The 20,804-nt window shown below is 37.8% G+C and overlaps 1 protein-coding gene across 24 annotated transcripts in view; it reads left to right on the forward strand.

Moving 5' to 3' along the window:
• Positions 1-20,804, forward strand: part of PCNX1 (pecanex 1) — a 207,924-nt gene that overhangs the window by 51,919 nt on the left and 135,201 nt on the right. For 19 of the 24 annotated variants that reach the window (XR_245673.5, XR_007063992.1, XM_005267420.5 and 16 more), the window contains exons 3-6: positions 2,849-2,954; positions 8,821-8,866; positions 9,644-9,733; positions 17,565-19,271. Coding sequence is in view for 22 of the 24 variants with exons in the window: in XM_005267420.5 (XP_005267477.1) it covers positions 2,849-2,954; positions 8,821-8,866; positions 9,644-9,733; positions 17,565-19,271 (1,949 nt within the window). In the remaining 2 variants the exon portion in view is untranslated. Of the gene's footprint in view, positions 1-2,848; positions 2,955-8,820; positions 8,867-9,643; positions 9,734-16,291; positions 16,384-17,564; positions 19,272-20,804 lie in introns of those variants that run through there. The other 5 variants (XM_047431127.1, XM_047431128.1, XM_047431129.1 and 2 more) reach the window with 3 other exon arrangements.

Consider the following 20,804-nt stretch of genomic DNA (forward strand, 5'->3'; position numbering starts at 1 on the left):
CCTCCCCCCACCCCACAACAGTCCCCAGAGTGTGATGTTCTCTTTCCTGTGTCCATGTGTTCTCATTGTTCAGTTCCCACCTATGAGTGAGAATATGCGGTGTTTGGTTTTTTGTTCTTGCGATAGTTTACTGAGAATGATGATTTCCAATTTCATTCGTGTCCCTACAAAGGACAGGAACTCATCATTTTTTATGGCTGCATAGTATTCCATGGTGTATATGTGCCACATTTTCTTAATCCAGTCTATCATTGTTGGACATTTGGGTTGGTTCCAAGTCTTTGCTATTGTGAATAGTGCCGCAGTAAACATACGTGTGCATGTGTCTTTATAGCAGCATGATTTATAGTCCTTTGGGTATATACCCAGTAATGGAATGGCTGGGTCAAATGGTATTTCTAGTTCTAGATCCCTGAGGAATCGCCACACTGACTTCCACAATGGTTGAACTAGTTTACAGTCCCACCAACAGTGTAAAAGTGTTCCTATTTCTCCACATCCTCTCCAGCACCTGTTGTTTCCTGACTTTTTAATGATCACCATTCTAACTGGTGTGAGATGGTATCTCATTGTGGTTTTGATTTGCATTTCTCTGATGGCCAGTGATGGTGAGCATTTTTTCATGTGTTTTTTGGCTGCATAAATGTCTTCTTTTGAGAAGTGTCTGTTTATGTCCTTCGCCCACTTTTTGATGGGGTTGTTTGTTTTTTTCTTGTAAATTTGTTTGAGTTCATTGTAGATTCTGGATATTAGCCCTTTGTCAGATGAGTAGGTTGCGAAAATTTTCTCCCATTTTGTAGGTTGCCTGTTCACTCTGATGGTAGTTTCTTTTGCCGTGCAGAAGCTCTTTAGTTTAATTAGATCCCATTTGTCAATTTTGGCTTTTGTTGCCATTGCTTTTGGTGTTTTAGACATGAAGTCCTTGCCCATGCCTATGTCCTGAATGGTAAAGCCTAGGTTTTCTTCTAGGGTTTTTATGGTTTTAGGTCTAACGTTTAAGTCTTTAATCCATCTTCACGTGATTATCTCAAGATGCAGAAAAGGCCTTTATCTCAAGATGCAGAAAAGGCCTTTGACAAAATTCAACAACACTTCATGCTAAAAACTCTCAATAAATTAGGTATCGATGGGACGTATCTCAAAATAATAAGAGCTATCTATGACAAACCCACAGCCAATATCATACTGAATGGGCAAAAACTGGAAGCATTCCCTTTGAAAACTGGCACAAGACAGGGATGCCCTCTCACCACTCCTATTCAACATAGTGTTGGAAGTTTTGGCCAGGGCAATTAGGCAGGAGAAGGAAATAAAGGGTATTCAATTAGGAAAAGAGGAAGTCAAATTGTCCCTGTTTGCAGGTGATATGATTGTATATCTAGAAAACCCCATTGTCTCAGCCCAAAATCTCCTTAAGCTGATAAGCAACTTCAGCAAAGTCTCAGGATACAAAATCAATGTACAAAAATCACAAGCATTCTTATACACCAATAACAGACAAACAGAGAGCCAAATCATGAATGAACTCCCATTCACAATTGCTTCAAAGAGAATAAAATACCTAGGAATCCAACTTACAAGGGATGTGAAGGACCTCTTAATGGAGAACTACAAACCACTGCTCAATGAAATAAAAGAGGATACAAACAAATGGAAGAACATTCCATGCTCATAGGTAGGAAGAATCAATATCGTGAAAATGGCCATACTGCCCAAGGTAATTTATAGATTCAATGCCATCCCCATCAACCTACCAATGACTTTCTTCACAGAATTGGAAAAAACTACTTTGAAGTTCATATGGAACCAAAAAAGAGCCCACATCGCCAAGTCAATCCTAAGCCAAAAGAACAAAGCTGGAGGCGTCACGCTACCTGACTTCAAACTCTACTACAAGGCTACAGTAACCAAAACAGCATGGTACTGGTACCAAAACAGAGATATAGATCAATGGAACAGAACAGAGCCCTCAGAAATAACGCCGCATATCTATAACTCTCTGATCTTTGACAAACCTGAGAAAAACAAGCAATGGGGAAAGGATTCCCTATTTAATAAATGGTGCTGGGAAAACTGGCTAGCCATATGTAGAAAGCTGAAACTGGATCACTTCCTTACACCTTATACAAAAATTAATCCTGTTATCTTTAAGTACTGTGTTTGGGCTTCTCCAGTGCTTTGAACCTAGTACTTTTCTCTTTTTTGTCTTTCTGTATCGTTACTACATAGCATCACTTTCTTTTTTTAACCTTGGCCTTCTAAACATGTACAGATCTAAAATCTTAGGTTTCCAGTTCTGTAAAACAAGTTAGTATTCTAGTTAAATTCTGGTTACTTAAAGAATACAGATACAAATAGCTTGACCAGGGCGACTGTTCTCTTGTGTGTTCATCACTGTATCATGCGGCTCATTGAGACTGATCTCGAGGGGATTCGTTAATGTAATATCTGATTACATTCTGTGTTTACAATTGAACAATTTCTCTTTGCTCTAGGGAAGCAAAAGGCAATCATTTCTTTGTGAGAGTGGTTTGATGGCACGTATCGTAACATATTTAGTATGCTATAATTGTAATTAATGCCAGTTTCTAATGTTGGATTTGATGTAGACAGTTTGGAATAAGAGAGTTATACATATTTTCAAGTAGTGATGTGGTTATAAAATAGTTCCAAGTATCAGACTTGTAAATGAAGAATGATCGTTGTTTACCTTTTTTGCTATTTGCTGGATTAAAAATCAGAACCTCTTAGTTTTGTGGAAAAAAGTATAACTTAAAAAATTAACAAAGGAAAAGCATTGGAGTCAGAATAATGACAGTTACTCTTTTTCTCATTTTTTTCTCCACAGTGATCCTGGTGGAGGGATTGAAATGTCTGAGTTCATCCGAGAGGCCACACCCCCAGTTGGTTGCAGTTCCAGAAATTCTTATGCCGGTCTAGATCCAAGCAACCAGGTAGGAACCTGCGCTGTTTTATTTTGCCTTTTTCCCTCCTCCTGATGGTGGTCTCCGTTATTCTCGTGTCTTTAAGTCGGCTGATGTTTTGTCATATCTTTCTGATTATTATTTTTAATTGCTTATTAATAACATCTTTTATTAATATTCTTTTTAAGTTACTTTTCACATTGATTAATTACAGATTTGTTGAGCATTACCACAGACTCATCTTTGGGTGTATAGTTTTGATTATGACAGTTGTGAATAGCCTTAGGAAATTTAGCTTCTAGCTTGCGCTATCTTCACATCATGTGTATTAGAGAGGTGTAGATGTCTGTGGTTACCCCCAGTTTAAACGTGGCCAAAAAATAAAAATAAATGCTGAAAATCTCTCAGTGTTCAAGATGTTTAATGGTAAGGCTAAAAGTAAAATACAAATTTGCTTTTATCAATTTTAATGTCTTTCTACTATGTAACTTTTAAAATGGTAACTCTTGAAGTTTTATTTCAAAACTTGGCTGGACCTTTGCTGCTCTAGTCCTCTTATTCATCCTAAATACCCGTACACTAATCAAAGCCCCAGTTACTCCTGCTGTCCTTCTCAGCAGATGATTTCATTGGGTAGAGTAAAATTCTATGAACTTTGTTGGAAACGTTCATGGTCTTCTCTTAGCAGACCTTTACATAACTATAGGTTTTAGTAGTTGCTATGTCAGTCTTTTCATTATATAGAAGAAGAAATAGCTGATTTATATCAGGGTCTGGACTAGACCGCACTTCTCACTCCAGTCTTCTTGTTATCATATGACACAGATTGTGGATTGAAACCATTCTTCTCTTTTCTGCCTGCTTTCTGTTCTAGAGACAGACTTAGTCATCTTTATTTTCTGGTCTAACTCTTCTTGTAACTATCCTACATTTCTCAAGATTTTCAAACACCTTATGGTGTTGACCCTTTCTTTTGCAGATGAGTACTTATTTATATGGCACTTTACAAGGCTCTACAGAGTAGATTTTCCTCTTTTTTTCTTCTGTCTTATATACTGCCTTGTGTACAGTTGACTTTAAATTAATGATTGCTAATTATCCTTATGTGACTAGGTAATAAAACATTAGAGGTAGATCAGACCTAGCTTCTCATTTAACAAATGAGTAAATAGCAGATATAATTCTGCCAACTCTGTCCTGTAGTATTCTACTCTTCTGCATTGGTAGCCTTAAGAACAATGTTATGAAAAACACTATATGAATCAAAATCTTGAACAGGGTCTTGTTTTCTAATATATTTTGATAGAAGATTTGACTCTGATTAGCATGTTCATGATTTAAAGTTAAAGTGAATGACTAAACTATTAAAGGTAACAGTTTTGAACCTAGTACCTTTCTCTCTTTTGTCTTTCTGTATCGTTACTACATAGCATCACTTTCTTTTTTTAACCTTGGCCTTCTAAACATGTACAGATCTAAAATCTTAGGTTTCCAGTTCTGTAAAACAAGTTAGTATTCTAGTTAAATTCTGTTTACTTAAAGAATACAGATACAAATAACTTGACCAGGGCGACTGTTCTCTTGTGTGTTCATCACTGTATCATGCGGCTCATTCGGACTGATCTAGTGAGTACAGAACATGTAGGTTGTTAAATTTATCTTCCTTCCATAACAAGCTTATGGAATGGGAGATGTCAAGAGTTTTTTTGTTGTTGTTGTTTGTTTGTTTAAAGAATGTGAAAAGAGCTATGACATATTAATTAGATTGATACTTTTTTTTTCTGAGATAGAATCTTGCTCTGTCATCCAGGCTGGAGTGCAATGGCACAATCTTGGCTCACTGCAACCTCCATCTCACAGGTTCAAGCTGTTCTCGTGCCTCAGCCTCCTAAGTAGCTGGGATTACAGGTGTCTGCCACCACACCTGGCTAATTTTTTTGCATTTTTAGTAGAGATGGGGTTCACCATGTTGTCCAGACTACCTCGAACTCCTGACCTCAGGTGGTCTGCCCACCTCAGCCTCCCAAAGTGCTGGGATTACAGATGTGAGTCACCATGCCCAGCCTTAGATTGATACTTTTTGTTTCAAATTTTACAATGCCTGTTTGAAGACAAGGGTTACTATCCTTGATCCTGTTTTTTTGTTGGCCTTGTGTTTCTCTGTCTCTTTTTATAGAATGAAATAACTCAATTCTTGAATATGGCTGCATGTCTTGTATTCTTAATTAACCCTGGGCTTTCTTCTTATTGACAGACGTAGGTAGTATCAGACCCCCAGAGAGTAAGCCTACATTTCTCCAATCATCTTTTGGAGACCTTTTTTCCTTTTTACAAAAAGGAAAGATGAAAGGGCCAGCAGTGGCCAGGCACTTTTGGATCCTGTGACCTTGGCATCGTGTCTGTTGGAACTTGCCTGTTTGTTTTAGGGAGGGAGTCCCTTTTTGACTGTGATTAAAGCATGTGTGCATGTTGTTAAACACACAGCATACCTTTTACTTAATAACTTTTTAATAAAAATGGGCAAATATTGGAGGTTATTGTGCTACTTGGATTTTAGTGTTTTCGTTTTATACTGTTTATGACAAAATAAATGGTTGACATAATTATTCTTACACTTTAGAGAAGCTGAAGTGAGGAGGAAGAGTCTGGCTTTTTGCATATTGCTGGAGATATTACCATTATAGACATACTGTTGTTTCTTGTATGTATTTTATTATATAATGTGTAAGATACTGCTACACATTATCATATTTTATATAAATTTGTTGGGTACTAAACAGTGAACCCACTGACCATAGTAGCTACATCGTGGTCATTGTTACTATTCTTTCCTTCACCTCTGCCTTTCTCCCTTTCATCTTCTACCCATCATTTCCATTCTTTCTTTTCATTCCTCTCCTTACCTCCTTCTCTTTCCTTTTGTCACTTTTCTACCTTCAAATATTTTAGCGCCCAATAGTATTCAAGGCATTCTACTTAGTGTGGGTTGGGGAGTGGGTCTTATACTGAAAGAGATTGTGATCTCATAGTAGGTGTGATATAAGTAACCAAAGATAAAGATGTGATATATGTTACCAAGGGGCCAGGCACGGTGGCTCACGCCTGTAATTCCAGCACTTTGGGAGGCCGAGGTAGGTGGATCACGAGGTTGGGCGATTGAGACCAGCCTGGCTAGTATGGTGAAACTCCGTCTCTACTAAAAATACAAAAAATTAGCTGGGTGTGGTGGCATGCACCTGTATTCCCAGCTACCCAGGAGGCTGAGGCAGGAGAATTGCTTGAACCCGGGAGGTGGAGGTTGCAGTGAGCTGAGATGGCACCACTGCACTCCAGCCTGGGCAACAGAGTGAGACTCCGTCTCAAAAAAAAAAAAAAAAAAAAGATAACGAAGTAAAAATTGCCATAGGAATGGTAGAGAAGAAGAGCTAATGATTTCATAGGATAAAATAATTGTTTCCAGCTGGAGAGACAGGCATGGCTTCTTGGGGCAGGTGGCCTTGCCTGATATGCTCTCTAGTTAGAAGTAACCTTTCTTCCCTGGTATCCATAATCCTTCCTATGGCACTTGTCATAGAGAAGAAACAGTGGAATATTTTAGTTTATGCAAAGCACTTAAATAAAAAACTTCACCCTCAAGTGTAAAAAGATACTGTTTTTTCTTAATCTTTACATTTTCATTTTTAGGAAATTTAATGAGTGAGGGCAAACAGGAAAATTAAAATAATCTATGTCATAATTGATTGTATCATGAGCATTAATATCATTAAGTGTTTTTCTACAGTGACACTTTGGGGAATGCATTGCATTTGGATATACTATAGTTTATATTCTGGAGCCCTGTTGTTTCACTTGTAAATAGTCATGATTCTTTTTGAGGGGAAGCATAATGCAGAAAAGTATGAAGAATAAAATATAACCACTCTATTATACCTGTTAAGAATGTTTTTGTCAACAAGTAATAGAATACTCAACTAATAGTGACTTAAAGAAATAGTTGTTTTTCACCTAAATCTGGAGGTGATTGTGTGGCATTTGTGTTCAGCAGCCTAACGTTAGGCCTCTGGATTGGCATCTCTGCAGTTCTCTAGGCTTTTTTCTCAGGGTTGCAGGATGAGCACAGCAGCTTCAATCAAGACCCTGTTTGAAAAGTTAGGAAGCAAGCAGTAGTGTGGGACAGAGATTTTCCTTGATCACTTTCTTCTCAGACACACAAAGACGTTTTCCTGAAGCCCTCCAGCAGATTCTCCCACACGTTCATTCACCAGAACTAGTTCATACACCTACCTCTAGACCAGGGACTGGGTGTACTTCTCATATATCAGAAGGTGTATGACCAATTTTGGAACAAAATAGGGAGATTGTTAAAGAAGGAGAAAGGGAATACTTTGAGCTTCTGAGCAAATGACTACCATATCCGTGTTTAAAAATTTTTTTTTTAAGTTTAAATTCCTAGATGGGTATGCATAAAATGGTGTTTTTGTTTTCTTGTTTGTTTTTAAATTTCTGTCTAGGAAGTTATATTTAATTCTAGCAGAAAAATAGCAAATGTTAATTCTATAACTTATGTAGCAGGTGTTGTAAGAATGAAACTTTTGCGATAAAATGCTTTTTGGTTTTTTTCTTGCTGGCAAATTGCAATGTCTTTTATGGCTAATTGAAAGCAGAAATTAGGAAAAACTAGAAGAACCAAGCTTAATAAAATAGTTCAAAATTATTACAAAGCTTTTTTTTATTGGCTACCTCAAGAGTTTATTTGTAGTTTCAACAGATATATGTATGCATATTTTTATTTACTTTTTCACTGGCATGTAACTTACACAGCGTAGTGCACACCTTCAGTGTACAGCTAAGTGAATTTTTACATCTGTGTGCACCCATTCAGTTGCCATCCAAATCAAGAAAGGCCTTCATGTCCCTTCAAAGTCAACATTAACTTATATTTTGAGTGATTTCTTGTGATATACACCTACTAAATCAAACCAATGAAGAGGAAGATGTGGTAAAGTATAAAGTAGTATATGAATGTTCTTAATTTTATTTTACAGTGCTAACTTTGCTTGACTGTTTTCTTCTTTGAATCCATGAAAACGAGTTACAGGAAGAGTTGCTAAGACTTGTTGATTTAGTAACTGTTATGTTATCTTTGGTTTCCTTAATGTGTTTGTGGAATTTGTGGTATTTATTTATATGATTTTCATGGTAGTATAATAAATAATGGCTGTGAAATTTTAGGGAAGTGTTAAACTATCTTGAATATAAGCACTAAAAGCTCAACAATCAGGTTTTAATTTTCTCCTTATAGTTTGTGCTAAAAATTCATTTTTCATGGATGCCTTAGACTTTTATTGATTTATTTTTTAATGTTCTGTCTATAAAGAAGTACTTACTTTTGTCTCCAACTAAAGAAGGTACATAATGATACACTTACAATTCGATGGTTAGACTTATGCTGCACTTTGTAGTGTATGTTAATGTTTGTCTGCCAAACCTTCCTTTTATACCCTAAGAAGTCTAAATTTATTTCAGGTAGACATAAAGCCTGGTTTTGCTTTTGTTTATAACATGAACGTGTCATGATGTAGTATAAAAATGATAATTGTATGACATGAGTTGCTTGAGATTGGAGGATCTGGCTCTGGGGGGGCTCCGTCAGTCCTGAGCATGCAGAGGGATTGGGTAGCTCCACATATCAGTAAGACACACGCAGCCTGTGCCGCAGCCAACAGGTTGCGTGGCTCCAATAGAGCTTGTCCAACAAGTATCTTCTAATATTGATAAAAATGATCGATAACATGTTTTGATCATATAATTTTGTTTGATAATCTTGCTAGTGTGTATTGATAATGACATAGCTAGCATTTTAATTAGTTTTATTTACTTCATGTCACGTTTTCAGATTGGATCTGGTTCCTCGCGTCTTGGAACAGCAGCAACTATTAAAGGTAGGTGTGATCTAACTTAAAAGTTGCACCTGCCTTTCCCTTTCATTTTGGTTGTAATGAAGATAACAGTACTGTACATTCAAATGTAATGAAAAAAATCATTCTTGAAATTCTTTTATAGATAAAATTATTTATCTTATTAAAGGTTGGTTGACTTAAATTGTGTTCTCTTTCATCATCCAAATTTCACAAAAGTGTCTGACCACTTACATTACATTGCGTGAATTACATAAGTTTTGATCTATAAGAAACTTCCTTGCCCTTGAGGGAAAACAGTTTTGTGGGTTTTAGTGGGGTTCATGGAAAACTAAGTAATTTGATGTGAAACCTTCTAATGTGACCACAAATGAAAGAACAAAAAAGAGCAAGTTATTTTCTGCTATTTGATCTATTCAGATAAATTCGTATTGTTTTCACCCTATAGTTTTTTAGGTTAATAATTTTCCCTGGGAAGGAAATTCATGTTGGGTCAAGTTATGTAATTTGCATTCCTTTTTAAATTCCACTTGTTTTTAAAGAAATAGTTTTATTAGTTTACATTTTGAAGCTTTCCACATTGTTTGGTTTGTAGTTCTGTGAGAATAATTAAGTGCTCTGATAGTCCATGATACTTCCTGCTAGTTCAGTGCATCTTCCATTATTGTAACCTTTGATACACAAAAACTACTTTAGTTGATAGACATTAGTACTCCTTGATGTATTAATACTCCTTGGTTATGCCACCCTACAGCCTTACTGTTAATATAAGGTCCTCACATGTTTCTCTTAACTTTGTAGGAGATACAGACACTGCTAAGACTTCTGATGATATCAGTTTAAGTCTGGGCCAAAGTTCTAGTCTTTGTAAGGAAGGAAGTGAAGAACAAGGTAAGAACGTTATACTTTACCATGATGTCATATACTGTGGTGACCAGAGTTAATTTGTAGAATATGCTGCATACAATTTGGCAGAAGTTTATAACAATTTAATATGATATTTAAGGAAACATTAACATAAAATGTTATGGTGATAGTAGTAATACAGAGTTACACATGCTTTTAGCTTACTTGAACTCAGTTATACATGTTCTGCCAGATAAACATGGAGAGAGAAATTCTATGAGCATATGCCCCAGAGTGAATATGAGATGGGAGATAAGAATCTGCTATTCTTTTAGTTGGTCAGACCAACTAGCCCAGCTTAGGGATAACCTAGTATGTAAAACTGTTACTTTCCATTCAGTACGATCTCTAAATGCCAGCTGCTTCATCTCTTGCCAACTGCAAAAACAGCAATAAGTTTTGACATAGTGTCTTAGTCCATGTGCATTGCTATAAAGAAATACCTGAGATTGGGTGCCTTGTACTTGGGTGCTTTTTTGGAATTACAGTACCCTATCATTGTTTCTTTGCTTCTGTGGACTGCCCTATCTAACCCTATATCCCATTCCTAAAACTGAAAAGACCTTTACATGTACTGTGTGGGCCGGGCGCAGTGGCTCATGCCTGTAATCCCAGCACTTTGGGAGGCTGAGGTGGGTGGAGTTCGAGACCAGCCTGGGCAACATGGCGAAACCCTGTCTCTACTAAAAATATAAAAATTATCCAGGGTAATGGTACACGCCTGTAATCCTAGCTACTCAGGAGGTTGAGGCACGAGAATCGCTTGAACCTGGGAGGCGGAGGTTGTAGTGAGCCGAGATCGTGTGACTGCACTCCAGCCTGGGTGAAAGAGCGAGACTCTGTCACAAATAGAGAAACACACGCACACATACAGGTACATATGTATGTATGTATGTATGTATGTATGTACTATGTGGTATGGAAACTTTTTTAAAACAATTAAAGGTGAATCAACTGGCTGTGGTGGCTGATGCCTGTAACCCCAGCATTTTGGGAGGCCAAGGCAGGAGGATCGCTTGAGTCCAGGAGTTTGAATCCAGCCTGGGTAACATAGTGAGATGCCTGTCTCTACAAAAAGTAATAAAAAAAATTTACCCGGGCATGATGGTGTGTGCCTATAGTCTCAGCTACTTGGGAGGCTGAGGTGGGAGGATCGCTTGATCCCAGGAGGTTGAGGCAGCAATAAGTTGTGGTAGTGCCACCGCACTCCAGCCTGGGCAACAGAGGGAGACCCTTTCTCTCTCTCTCAGTCAATCAACCAATCAATCAGTCAATATCAATTTCTTTGAGAATTATAATATCCTTTTCTGTAATATGAGACCATTACAGTGTCTCAACAACTAGATAATAATCTCAGAGGGGTTGGTGCCCTTGTGTTTAGGGATTATATATCTTATTTTATATCTGGAAAGTACCATATGCAAACAAGATTTTTATAGTCTGGTAGGTTGGGAATTATATACACACGAATCTACCCTTGCAACTATACATTAACATAGACAGTGATGTCTAACATGCACTGGGTGCATACTATTGGCCAAGTTTGGGGTCAACATACTTTTCTCTAAAGGACCAGATAGCTTTGTAGGCCATGTGGTCTCTCTTGCTACTCAGCTACTCAACTCTGCCATTGTAGAGTGAAAGGAGTCATAAACGATACATAAATAGTGGGCATGGCTGTGCCATCCTAAAATTTGGTTTATAAAAACAAGTTTGAGGGCTGGATTTGGCTTCATGGGACTTAGTTTGTCAACCCCTGGTTTAAGTCCTCTTCTAAGCATTTTATATGCATTTACCCAGTTAATCTTCACTATAAACGTTTGAAGTTGGCACTGTTATTATTCTCACTTTACAGATAAGCATGTTATTGCTTAGAGAGAAATTATAAGAAACTTGCTCAAAGTCCCACAGCTACAAAGTGACAGTCCTATAATTCAAATCTAGTTTTGAATTATGCTTTTTAAAATCTATGCTATACTACTTTATATAGTTTTTTTTTTTTTTTTTTTTTTTTTTTTTTTTTTTTTTTTGAGACGGAGTCTCGCTCTGTCGCCCAGGCCGGACTGCGGACTGCAGTGGCGCAATCTCGACTCACTGCAAGCTCCGCTTCCCGGGTTCACGCCATTCTCCTGCCTCAGCCTCCCGAGTAGCTGGGACTACAGGCGCCCGCCACCGCGCCCGGCTAATTTTTTGTATTTTTAGTAGAGACGGGGTTTCACCTTGTTAGCCAGGATGGTCTCGATCTCCTGACCTCATGATCCACCCGCCTCGGCCTCCCAAAGTGCTGGGATTACAGGCGTGAGCCACCGCGCCCGGCCTATAGTTTTAAAACTTGCTTTTATCATGCAACATTTTTCCATATGTTTAACATTTAACAAATATTGTCGAGTACTCTTGGCACTGTTTTAAGTACTGGAAATAAATCAGTGAACAAAAAGACAAAAAGTTCCACCCTCATGTGGCTTCTCTACTATTAATATGGAATCATACTGGTAGCAATCAACATATACTGTAGTAAGTAGAGACAGAAGATAGGGATTGGTGGGGACTAGGGAAATTTTAATTTTAAATAGAGTAGTTGAGGGCGGGCTTCTCTGAGAGCAAAGACCTGAAGAAGGAGGAGTGAGCTCTCAGGATATCTGAGGGGAGGGGCCCCCTCCACGCAGAGGGAACAGCAAGGGCAAAGCCCTAAAGCAAGAGCATGCCTGTCAGGTTTGAGAAATATTGTGGCTGGCTCAGAGTAAGTGAAGGGCCAAACAGTATGGAGTTTTGCAAGCCATTTTAAAGGTGCTAATTTTAATTCTGAGTGAGATAAGGAACTGCTAAAGGGTTGTATTTCATTTCAGTGGAATCACTCCGGCTCCTATTTTGAGGAATATATTAAAAGGGGCAAAAGTTGAAGCAGGGACCTCACTCAGCAGATTATTGCAGCAATCCAGAACACAGATCAGAGTAGTGAGAAGTAGTCTGACTGTGTGTGTAGAAGATACTAAGAAGATAGGTTATGGATTTGGATATACTATGTGAGAGAAGTAGTGGTCATAGATGAAGGCTTTTGAGTTACGCATCAGGGAGGATGGGGGCCCGCCAACTGAAAGGGGAAAGACTGAGGAGGAGCAGATTCAGGGTGGGGAGAGCAAGGGGGGTAAGTTAGGGGGTTCAGTTCAGGGCCTATCAGGTGCTGTTAGACCTGTAAGCAGCAATGAGTAGATAAGAGAGGTCCAGATTTCAGGTAAGAGGTCTAGGTTGGGGGTTTTAGATTCAGGAGTTGTCAGTGGATAAATAAAAACAACAACAAAAATCAGTCATGTCAGTTAAGGGGTTGGGTATTATTAAGTTGATGAAGTATCAGGGCAAGCATACTTGTTAGCTGCTTGGGGTTTATGTGGCCTTTACTTCTTGATCCAAATCCCTTTTCTTGGCTATGGTTTGGCGCCACCTAGTGGCAAATGTTCATGCTGGCTTAAATATCGTTTGGTACTCTTACTCCTCTGGTTTGGATTTACAGGATCCAAACCAAGGATCCAAGCCTTTAGTTGGTTAACAGTTAGTTGATTAGTTGGCACTCATTTTGTCACATGATTCAGGATGACTGGGGGAAAACAGGATATTGGGGTATATCTTTAACTTTTTCACTTCTAAGATAATCTACAGTTTCCCTACCTCTCGCTCATACCTTCCCTATCCAAGATCAGAACTTCAGACCGTCCCCATGGGAATATGAGGGCTGGGTAGAAGGTAGAGGAACTAGTTACAGGTATTTCTGAATTTCAGTTTGTCATGGGGATAGAAAACTGGATAAGATTTACAAAGAGGGAGTATAGGTAGAAAAGTGAAAAGTTCTAGCTGGGTGCGGTGACTTACCCCTATAATCCCAGCACTTCGAGAGGCCAAGGTGGGAGTATGGCTGGAGGCCAGGAGTTCAATACCAGCCTGGGCAACATGGTGAAGCCCTGCCTTTAAGAAAAAATACAAAAAATTACCTGGGTGTGGTGCAGTGTACCTGTAGCTCAGCTACCCAAGAGGCTGAGGCAGGAGGATTGCTTGAGCCTAGGAGATCAAGACTGCAGTGAGCCATGATTGCAGCACTACACTCCAGCCTGAGTGACAGAGCAACACTCTGTCTCAAAAAAAAAAAAAAAAAGAAAAAGTGAAAAGTTTTAAGATGTGAACCCTGAGCCTCTTTAGTTTAAGAAGTCCAGGAGACTGAGTAGGAACAACTAGTGAGATCAAAGGAAAACCAAGACTGTTATCCACCTGTGTTCAAGGAGAATGGATTGACCAGCTTTGTCAAGTGCTGCCGATAGGTCAGGTGACATGCAGACTGAGACTTGACCATTGGATTGAACAATTTAGGGGGTGTTGGTGACCTTGATAAGCACGGTCTTAGGGGAGTTGAATTGGAATACAAAGAGAATTGGAGGAGAAGAATCAGACAGTGAATACAGACAACTCTTTCAGTGAATTTTTGTAAAGGTGATAGCAAGCAGGAGAAGTAAAGATGAGGGATTTCGATTTTGTAAGATGTTGTAAGAGATATAACAACATGTTTGTATAATTGATTATTATCCATAATCAATTGATAGGGATGATCAGAGAGAGAAAGAAGGTATGATTTTTGTTTATAAAAGTAACATATATGTTAACTTTAGAAAATATAGTTAAGTATGAAGAAAAAATTTAGACCTCTGCCACTGATAAACTTTTTTTTGCATATCATTTTTTCATATTTTTTTGCTTTGATATAATTCAGTGGTTTTTAGAATATTATGCATCCATCACCACTATCTAAATCCAGAACATTTTCATTACTCCAGTAAGAAACCTGCACCCATTACACTCCCCATTTCCCCTTCAAGCAGCCCCTGACAACCTCTAGTTTACTGTTTCTTTGAATTTGCCTATTCTGGACATTTCATATAAACACAATTATATGTGGTTTTTTTTTTTTTAATGTGTCTGGCTTCTTTCATTTACCTTATTCTGGCATGTATCAGGATGTTATTTCTTTTTATGGCTAACTGTGGTATATCACTTTTCGCATTTATAAAAATATACGCCCATATACCATTAGCATTCATTTAAACTTACAGAACTGGAATTGTGGTTTTTTTTGTTGTTTTTTTTTTTTTTTTTGAGAGGGAGTCTCGCTCTGTTGCCCAGGATGGAGTGTGCAGTGGTGTATTTTTAGTAGAGATGGGGTTTCACCATGTTGGCCAGGCTGATCTCGAACTCCTGACCTCGTGATCCACCTGCCTCGGCCTCCCAAAGTGCTGGGATTACAGGCGTGAGCCACTGCACCCAGCCAGTGCCACCTTTTTCACTTAATTATTTTCTCATGTTATTACATAATCTTTGAAAATGTTTTTAGTGCCTGTATGAAATTATTAGTGGACCACATATTCAATCGTTATTTATAGGACATTGTTATACTTTTTGTGCTTTAAGAACTTTTATAATAAGGTGACATGAACAACTTTGTGCTAAAAACCTTGTACGCATATTTGACTCTATCCTTTAGCAACAATTTCTTACCTTCAAGATAAGAATACCTTTTCAAGTTTCTTGGCCATATTGCCAGATTGCTTTAAGAAGGTTACACCAGTTGGTACCACCATGAGCAGTATGTCTTTCTTATTCTAAACGCCACTAATAACAATTATTTTAAAAAAAGTTTGATTCGATGAAAAATGTATCTTTTTGTGTTGATTTGAGCCTCTTAACTTTGATATAATCTTTTTCATATGGGTAACAGTAAGAAAAAATATATTTACCTGAAAATTTCCTGAAACCACCGAAATTCTTTCTGACAAAATTAAACCTTTTGTGGTATATTTGTTTAGCAGTATCGAAAAAAGTGCATGTATTAAAGTAAGTTTGGCTGTGTCTTTTAAAATGAAATACTTACATTTCTGTTTTATTAATTTATCAGAAGGAAGTTGGTTTTGATCATTAGCATTAAAAAAACCTTTTGTTATCTTAGATTTAGTGATTTTCAACTACTTGCTCAGAGTCGATAAGTTTTCTGTAAAATTCATATCCTTGAAATGTGAATATCACACCAACCGATAATTGCTTATTAGAGATAAAGAGTTTTTAGAAATAACATTATAATTTAATATTACAAAACGTACAATGCTAGCTTTTAAATTTTGATATTTAGAAGATATAAGAACGCAACTACAGTAGCAGCTGTGTTGGGAAAATAATAAAGAACGGGTTTTACTTATCTTGAAAACTTTAAAATGTAAAATAAAGTGTAATTGGACATTTATACACTATAATTTTTATGGTACACTCCAGAGGCTATCCGTGAATTTTTAATTAATTAATCATAGCTAAATCTACATTTAGATTTTTAAAGATTACATAAACATTTTTAATAACTCATTCCTTTCTTTTAATCTTAGGGGGAAATGTCTGCTTTGGTCATTGAGATTCTACTGGGAAGACTCAGATTTACTATAGAATCTGTTATTTTACTTTGTCTATCCAGCTATGACAAGACAATAATTTTTCTTTTTATTGAACTAACAGCAGGTTCAGATGTCCTTGTCTGTCAAAACATATATTTAAAAATCAGCTATTTTGCAGTTTGGTTGTCAAGCTATATTCCAAGATAAATTACAATGTAGGTAGGTAGGTAGATACATTGATTTATATCTATATTTACATTTGTATATCTAGTATGTATGATAAGTCACTAATCACTGGTCTGGATGGAGGGTTAAAGCAGTGGTCTTACAGATACAAGAAGGTAAGTATTTTTTTCATGAAGTATTTTTTAATTGCTATACCAATAATGAAAGATAAAATGCAGTATTTTGCTCTGTAATTATTGCTGTTTTTACCATTCTGAACAGCAAGAGGATGTCTTACATCATTATATCTTGTTTAGGCATTGGTCAGCCTATTTTCGTTTGTTTGTTTCTGATTACTCTAGGTTTTCTTGATTTGTGAAATAATCGTATTAGCTTTTTGAAAGGATTTTAATATTGTGTTAGTAAGGTAGAATAATGATAGCCATCTTTAATTGTGACGGCATTGTGTCAAGCAATATATGTCATTAACTCAGTTATTCCTTGCCTGTGACTCAGTGAAGTTGATGTCCCATTTTGCAGATGAGGAAACAGATTTACAGGGGGGTAACCCAAAGTTACCAAGTTAGTAAGTTGGAGATAGAGCTTGCATAGAAATCCAGGCCTATTTTAAGTATAGTCCTTTGTTGCTCTTTCTTTCTTTCTTTCTTTTTTTTTTTTTTTTTTGAGACAGAGTCCTGCTCTTTTGCCCAGGCTGGAGTGCAGTGGTACGATCTCGGCTCACTGCATGCTCCGCCTCCTGGGTTCACACCATTCTCCTGCCTCAGCCTCCGGAGAAGCTGGGACTACAGGCGCTCGCCACCACGCCCGGCTAATTTTTTTGTATTTTTAGTAGAGACGGAGTTTCACAGTGTTAGCCAGGATGGTCTTGATCTCCTGACCTTGTGATCCACCCACCTTGGCCTCCCAAAGTGCTGGGATTACAAGCGTGAGCCACTGCGCCCGGCCCCTTTGTTTCCTCTTAATTTTATTGTTGATAGTCTATACAACTCTTTCTGAGGCCAGTTGAAGAACTCAAAGATTTGGAAGTTCAGTTCATTTCGTGAGTAGAATGCTTTCTTTGTGCAGCTGTGAAACAGAAAGCAGCTCTTTGGAGAACTACTTGAGAAATTATTTATACTTGATTTACTGTATGCAGTGAATTCTTTCCATTGTTAAACAGTAGAAAAGCAGATCATACATTTATTTTAACATTTCAAAATATGTGTTTGAAACAGATTTGGCAGCTGATCGGAAGCTCTTTCGTCTTGTCTCCAATGACTCCTTCATCTCTATTCAGCCTTCCTTATCCTCTTGTGGACAGGACTTGCCAAGGGACTTCAGTGACAAAGTGAACCTGCCAAGTCATAACCACCACCACCATGTTGATCAGTCTCTGTCCAGCGCCTGTGACACAGAAGTAGCTTCTCTTGTACCTTTACACTCACACTCTTATAGAAAAGACCACCGGCCGCGAGGTGTACCACGGACTTCTAGCTCTGCTGTGGCTTTTCCAGACACTTCACTGAATGATTTTCCCCTTTATCAGCAAAGACGTGGATTAGATCCAGTTAGTGAGTTAGAATCTTCCAAGCCTCTTTCTGGATCCAAAGAATCCTTGGTGGAAAATTCTGGTTTATCTGGGGAATTTCAGCTTGCTGGTGACTTGAAAATCAATACTTCTCAGCCACCCACAAAAAGTGGGAAGAGCAAACCTTTGAAAGCAGAGAAAAGCATGGACAGCTTGAGGAGCCTGAGCACACGGAGTAGTGGGTCAACAGAAAGCTACTGCAGTGGAACGGACCGGGACACTAACAGTACTGTCAGCAGCTATAAAAGTGAGCAGACCAGCTCAACTCACATAGAGAGCATCCTGTCAGAGCATGAGGAGTCTCCTAAAGCAGGAACAAAAAGTGGGAGGAAGAAAGAGTGCTGTGCAGGCCCAGAGGAGAAGAATAGCTGTGCCAGTGACAAAAGGACTAGCAGTGAAAAGATTGCTATGGAAGCGAGTACCAACAGTGGGGTTCACGAGGCCAAGGACCCCACCCCCTCTGATGAGATGCACAACCAGAGAGGTCTCAGCACCTCTGCATCTGAAGAAGCCAATAAAAATCCCCATGCAAATGAATTTACTTCCCAAGGGGACAGACCACCTGGGAACACTGCAGAAAACAAAGAAGAGAAGAGTGATAAGTCAGCTGTTTCTGTGGATTCCAAAGTGCGTAAAGATGTTGGTGGAAAGCAAAAGGAAGGGGATGTTCGACCTAAATCTTCTAGCGTAATCCATCGGACAGCTTCTGCCCACAAGTCAGGCAGGAGACGCACAGGAAAAAAACGGGCTAGCAGTTTTGATTCAAGCCGGCATAGGGACTATGTTTGCTTTCGAGGTGTTTCTGGTACCAAGCCACACAGTGCTATATTTTGTCATGACGAAGACTCTAGTGATCAGAGTGACTTGAGTAGAGCATCAAGTGTTCAGTCTGCTCACCAGTTCAGCAGTGATAGCTCTTCTAGCACCACTTCTCATTCCTGTCAGTCTCCTGAGGGCAGATACAGTGCTCTAAAGACCAAACACACTCATAAAGAAAGGGGCACAGACTCTGAACACACACACAAAGCTCATTTGGTTCCTGAAGGAACCAGCAAAAAGCGTGCAACACGACGGACTTCTAGCACAAATAGTGCCAAGACTCGTGCCCGAGTGTTGAGCCTGGACAGTGGCACAGTAGCATGTTTGAATGACTCAAACAGGTTAATGGCACCTGAAAGTATAAAGCCCTTAACCACTTCAAAATCAGATCTTGAGGCCAAAGAGGGAGAGGTGCTAGATGAGCTATCTTTATTAGGACGGGCTTCCCAGTTAGAGACAGTCACTCGATCTAGGAATAGCTTGCCAAACCAGGTTGCATTTCCTGAAGGGGAAGAGCAAGATGCAGTCAGTGGAGGTAAGTAAACTGTAAGAAGAGATTTCTGTAAGACTCACTGCTTTTTCATACTATTAATTAGAGTAGTACTTACTAAAATATGCTTCTGTTAATATTCCCCCTTCCACTGTGTTATTAAAATAAGCTTTCTTGAATGAAGAAGTAGGTGATTATCTTAGAAAAGGTTTTGGTATGAACACCAAGAACATATTTTTTGGTTGCAATACTTGAATACGTCAATTTGTTCTTGATGGTGTCAAGAACACCAGTTTCTAAGCCAGTTGCCACCTGTTAATGTTTTGCTGGGAATAACAAAAATTAGCCCTCTTCCTTTGTATAGCAATAGCAACAATAAAATATATAATTATTTAAGGGCACCAAACCAGTTTTAATCAACTCTTATACAGTATATGACACTGAACTTTCAAAATTAGATCACTCAGCCTATTATATAAGAGTTTTACAAATATTACTTTAGATCTGATTATGTACATTGAGAATTGTGGCTCTTTTTTTAAGTCTGTATCTTTGGTTTTATTTCTTGCTTACTCAAGTTTTAGGCGTTACGAAAATACTATTTTTTTCTATAATTTCACACATTATTCTTAAAGTTTATTAAATTCAGATTTGTAGTTTATATTGACATTTGGTATCCATTAATTGATGTAAGATGCCCCCATAATAACAGTGATGGTGTTCTGGTTAAAGTAATAGCTTATTTATTTCAGGTTTTTGGAGAATTGTGCAAATTTGGATAGGTGATTTTATATTCTGTCAGTGTGTGTTGGCCTCTTTATTTCAGAGTTATTTCTTGCTGTGTTCTTCTGCCCAAGATAGTTTGTTTATTTGGTTCTGGTTTTTATGGAATCTGCTTCTTGAATAGAATCAGAAAAATCAGGTCTTTTGTTGTTAGTACCTTAGCATTTTTAGCCTCTACCCCTATTCCCTTTATTTATGCTTGTATCATTAGTTTTAAAGTTATAGTCTGTTTGATACAGTAATGTTCAGTCATTTATTAAAAGTTAAGCTGGATTTTGTTTGTACAAACATTATGAAACATATGAATATATGCTTTTTCTCAAAGATGTTAATTTCACCCGAAGTATTTTAAAAGTCCATATTGTGGTAAACATTTTCTTAGATTTTTTTGGGGGTCAAGTTTCTAGCCAGATTAATTTCTAATGGGAACGTAAAGAAATTTTCTAGTACCTAAAGAAGAATATAGTTTATCAAACCTAAATATTGAGAACTAATTATATCTGAAGTGGTTATAACCATTTGGTGACAGTAGAGTAATTAAATTCCCTCGAGTCTTTGACCTGGATATAGTTCTCTCTTTTTTTTTTTTTTTGTAAACAACCTGAAATGCTTGTAGTGATTTCTCACACAAATCATATCAGATATGTTCACAGTATGCAAGAAACCATTGGATTTTAAAATATAGCTTAATTTTTAAAGTTATCAAAATGAATTTTAAGTCAACATGCTATGATAGAAAAATATTGCTGTTCTGAATATTGTGGAAATGTAAATACTGAAAAAATGTGTACAAAA

The sequence above is a fragment of the Homo sapiens genome, chromosome 14, assembly GCF_000001405.40.
Source record: "Homo sapiens chromosome 14, GRCh38.p14 Primary Assembly".
In the NCBI taxonomy this organism is placed as follows: domain Eukaryota; kingdom Metazoa; phylum Chordata; class Mammalia; order Primates; family Hominidae; genus Homo; species Homo sapiens.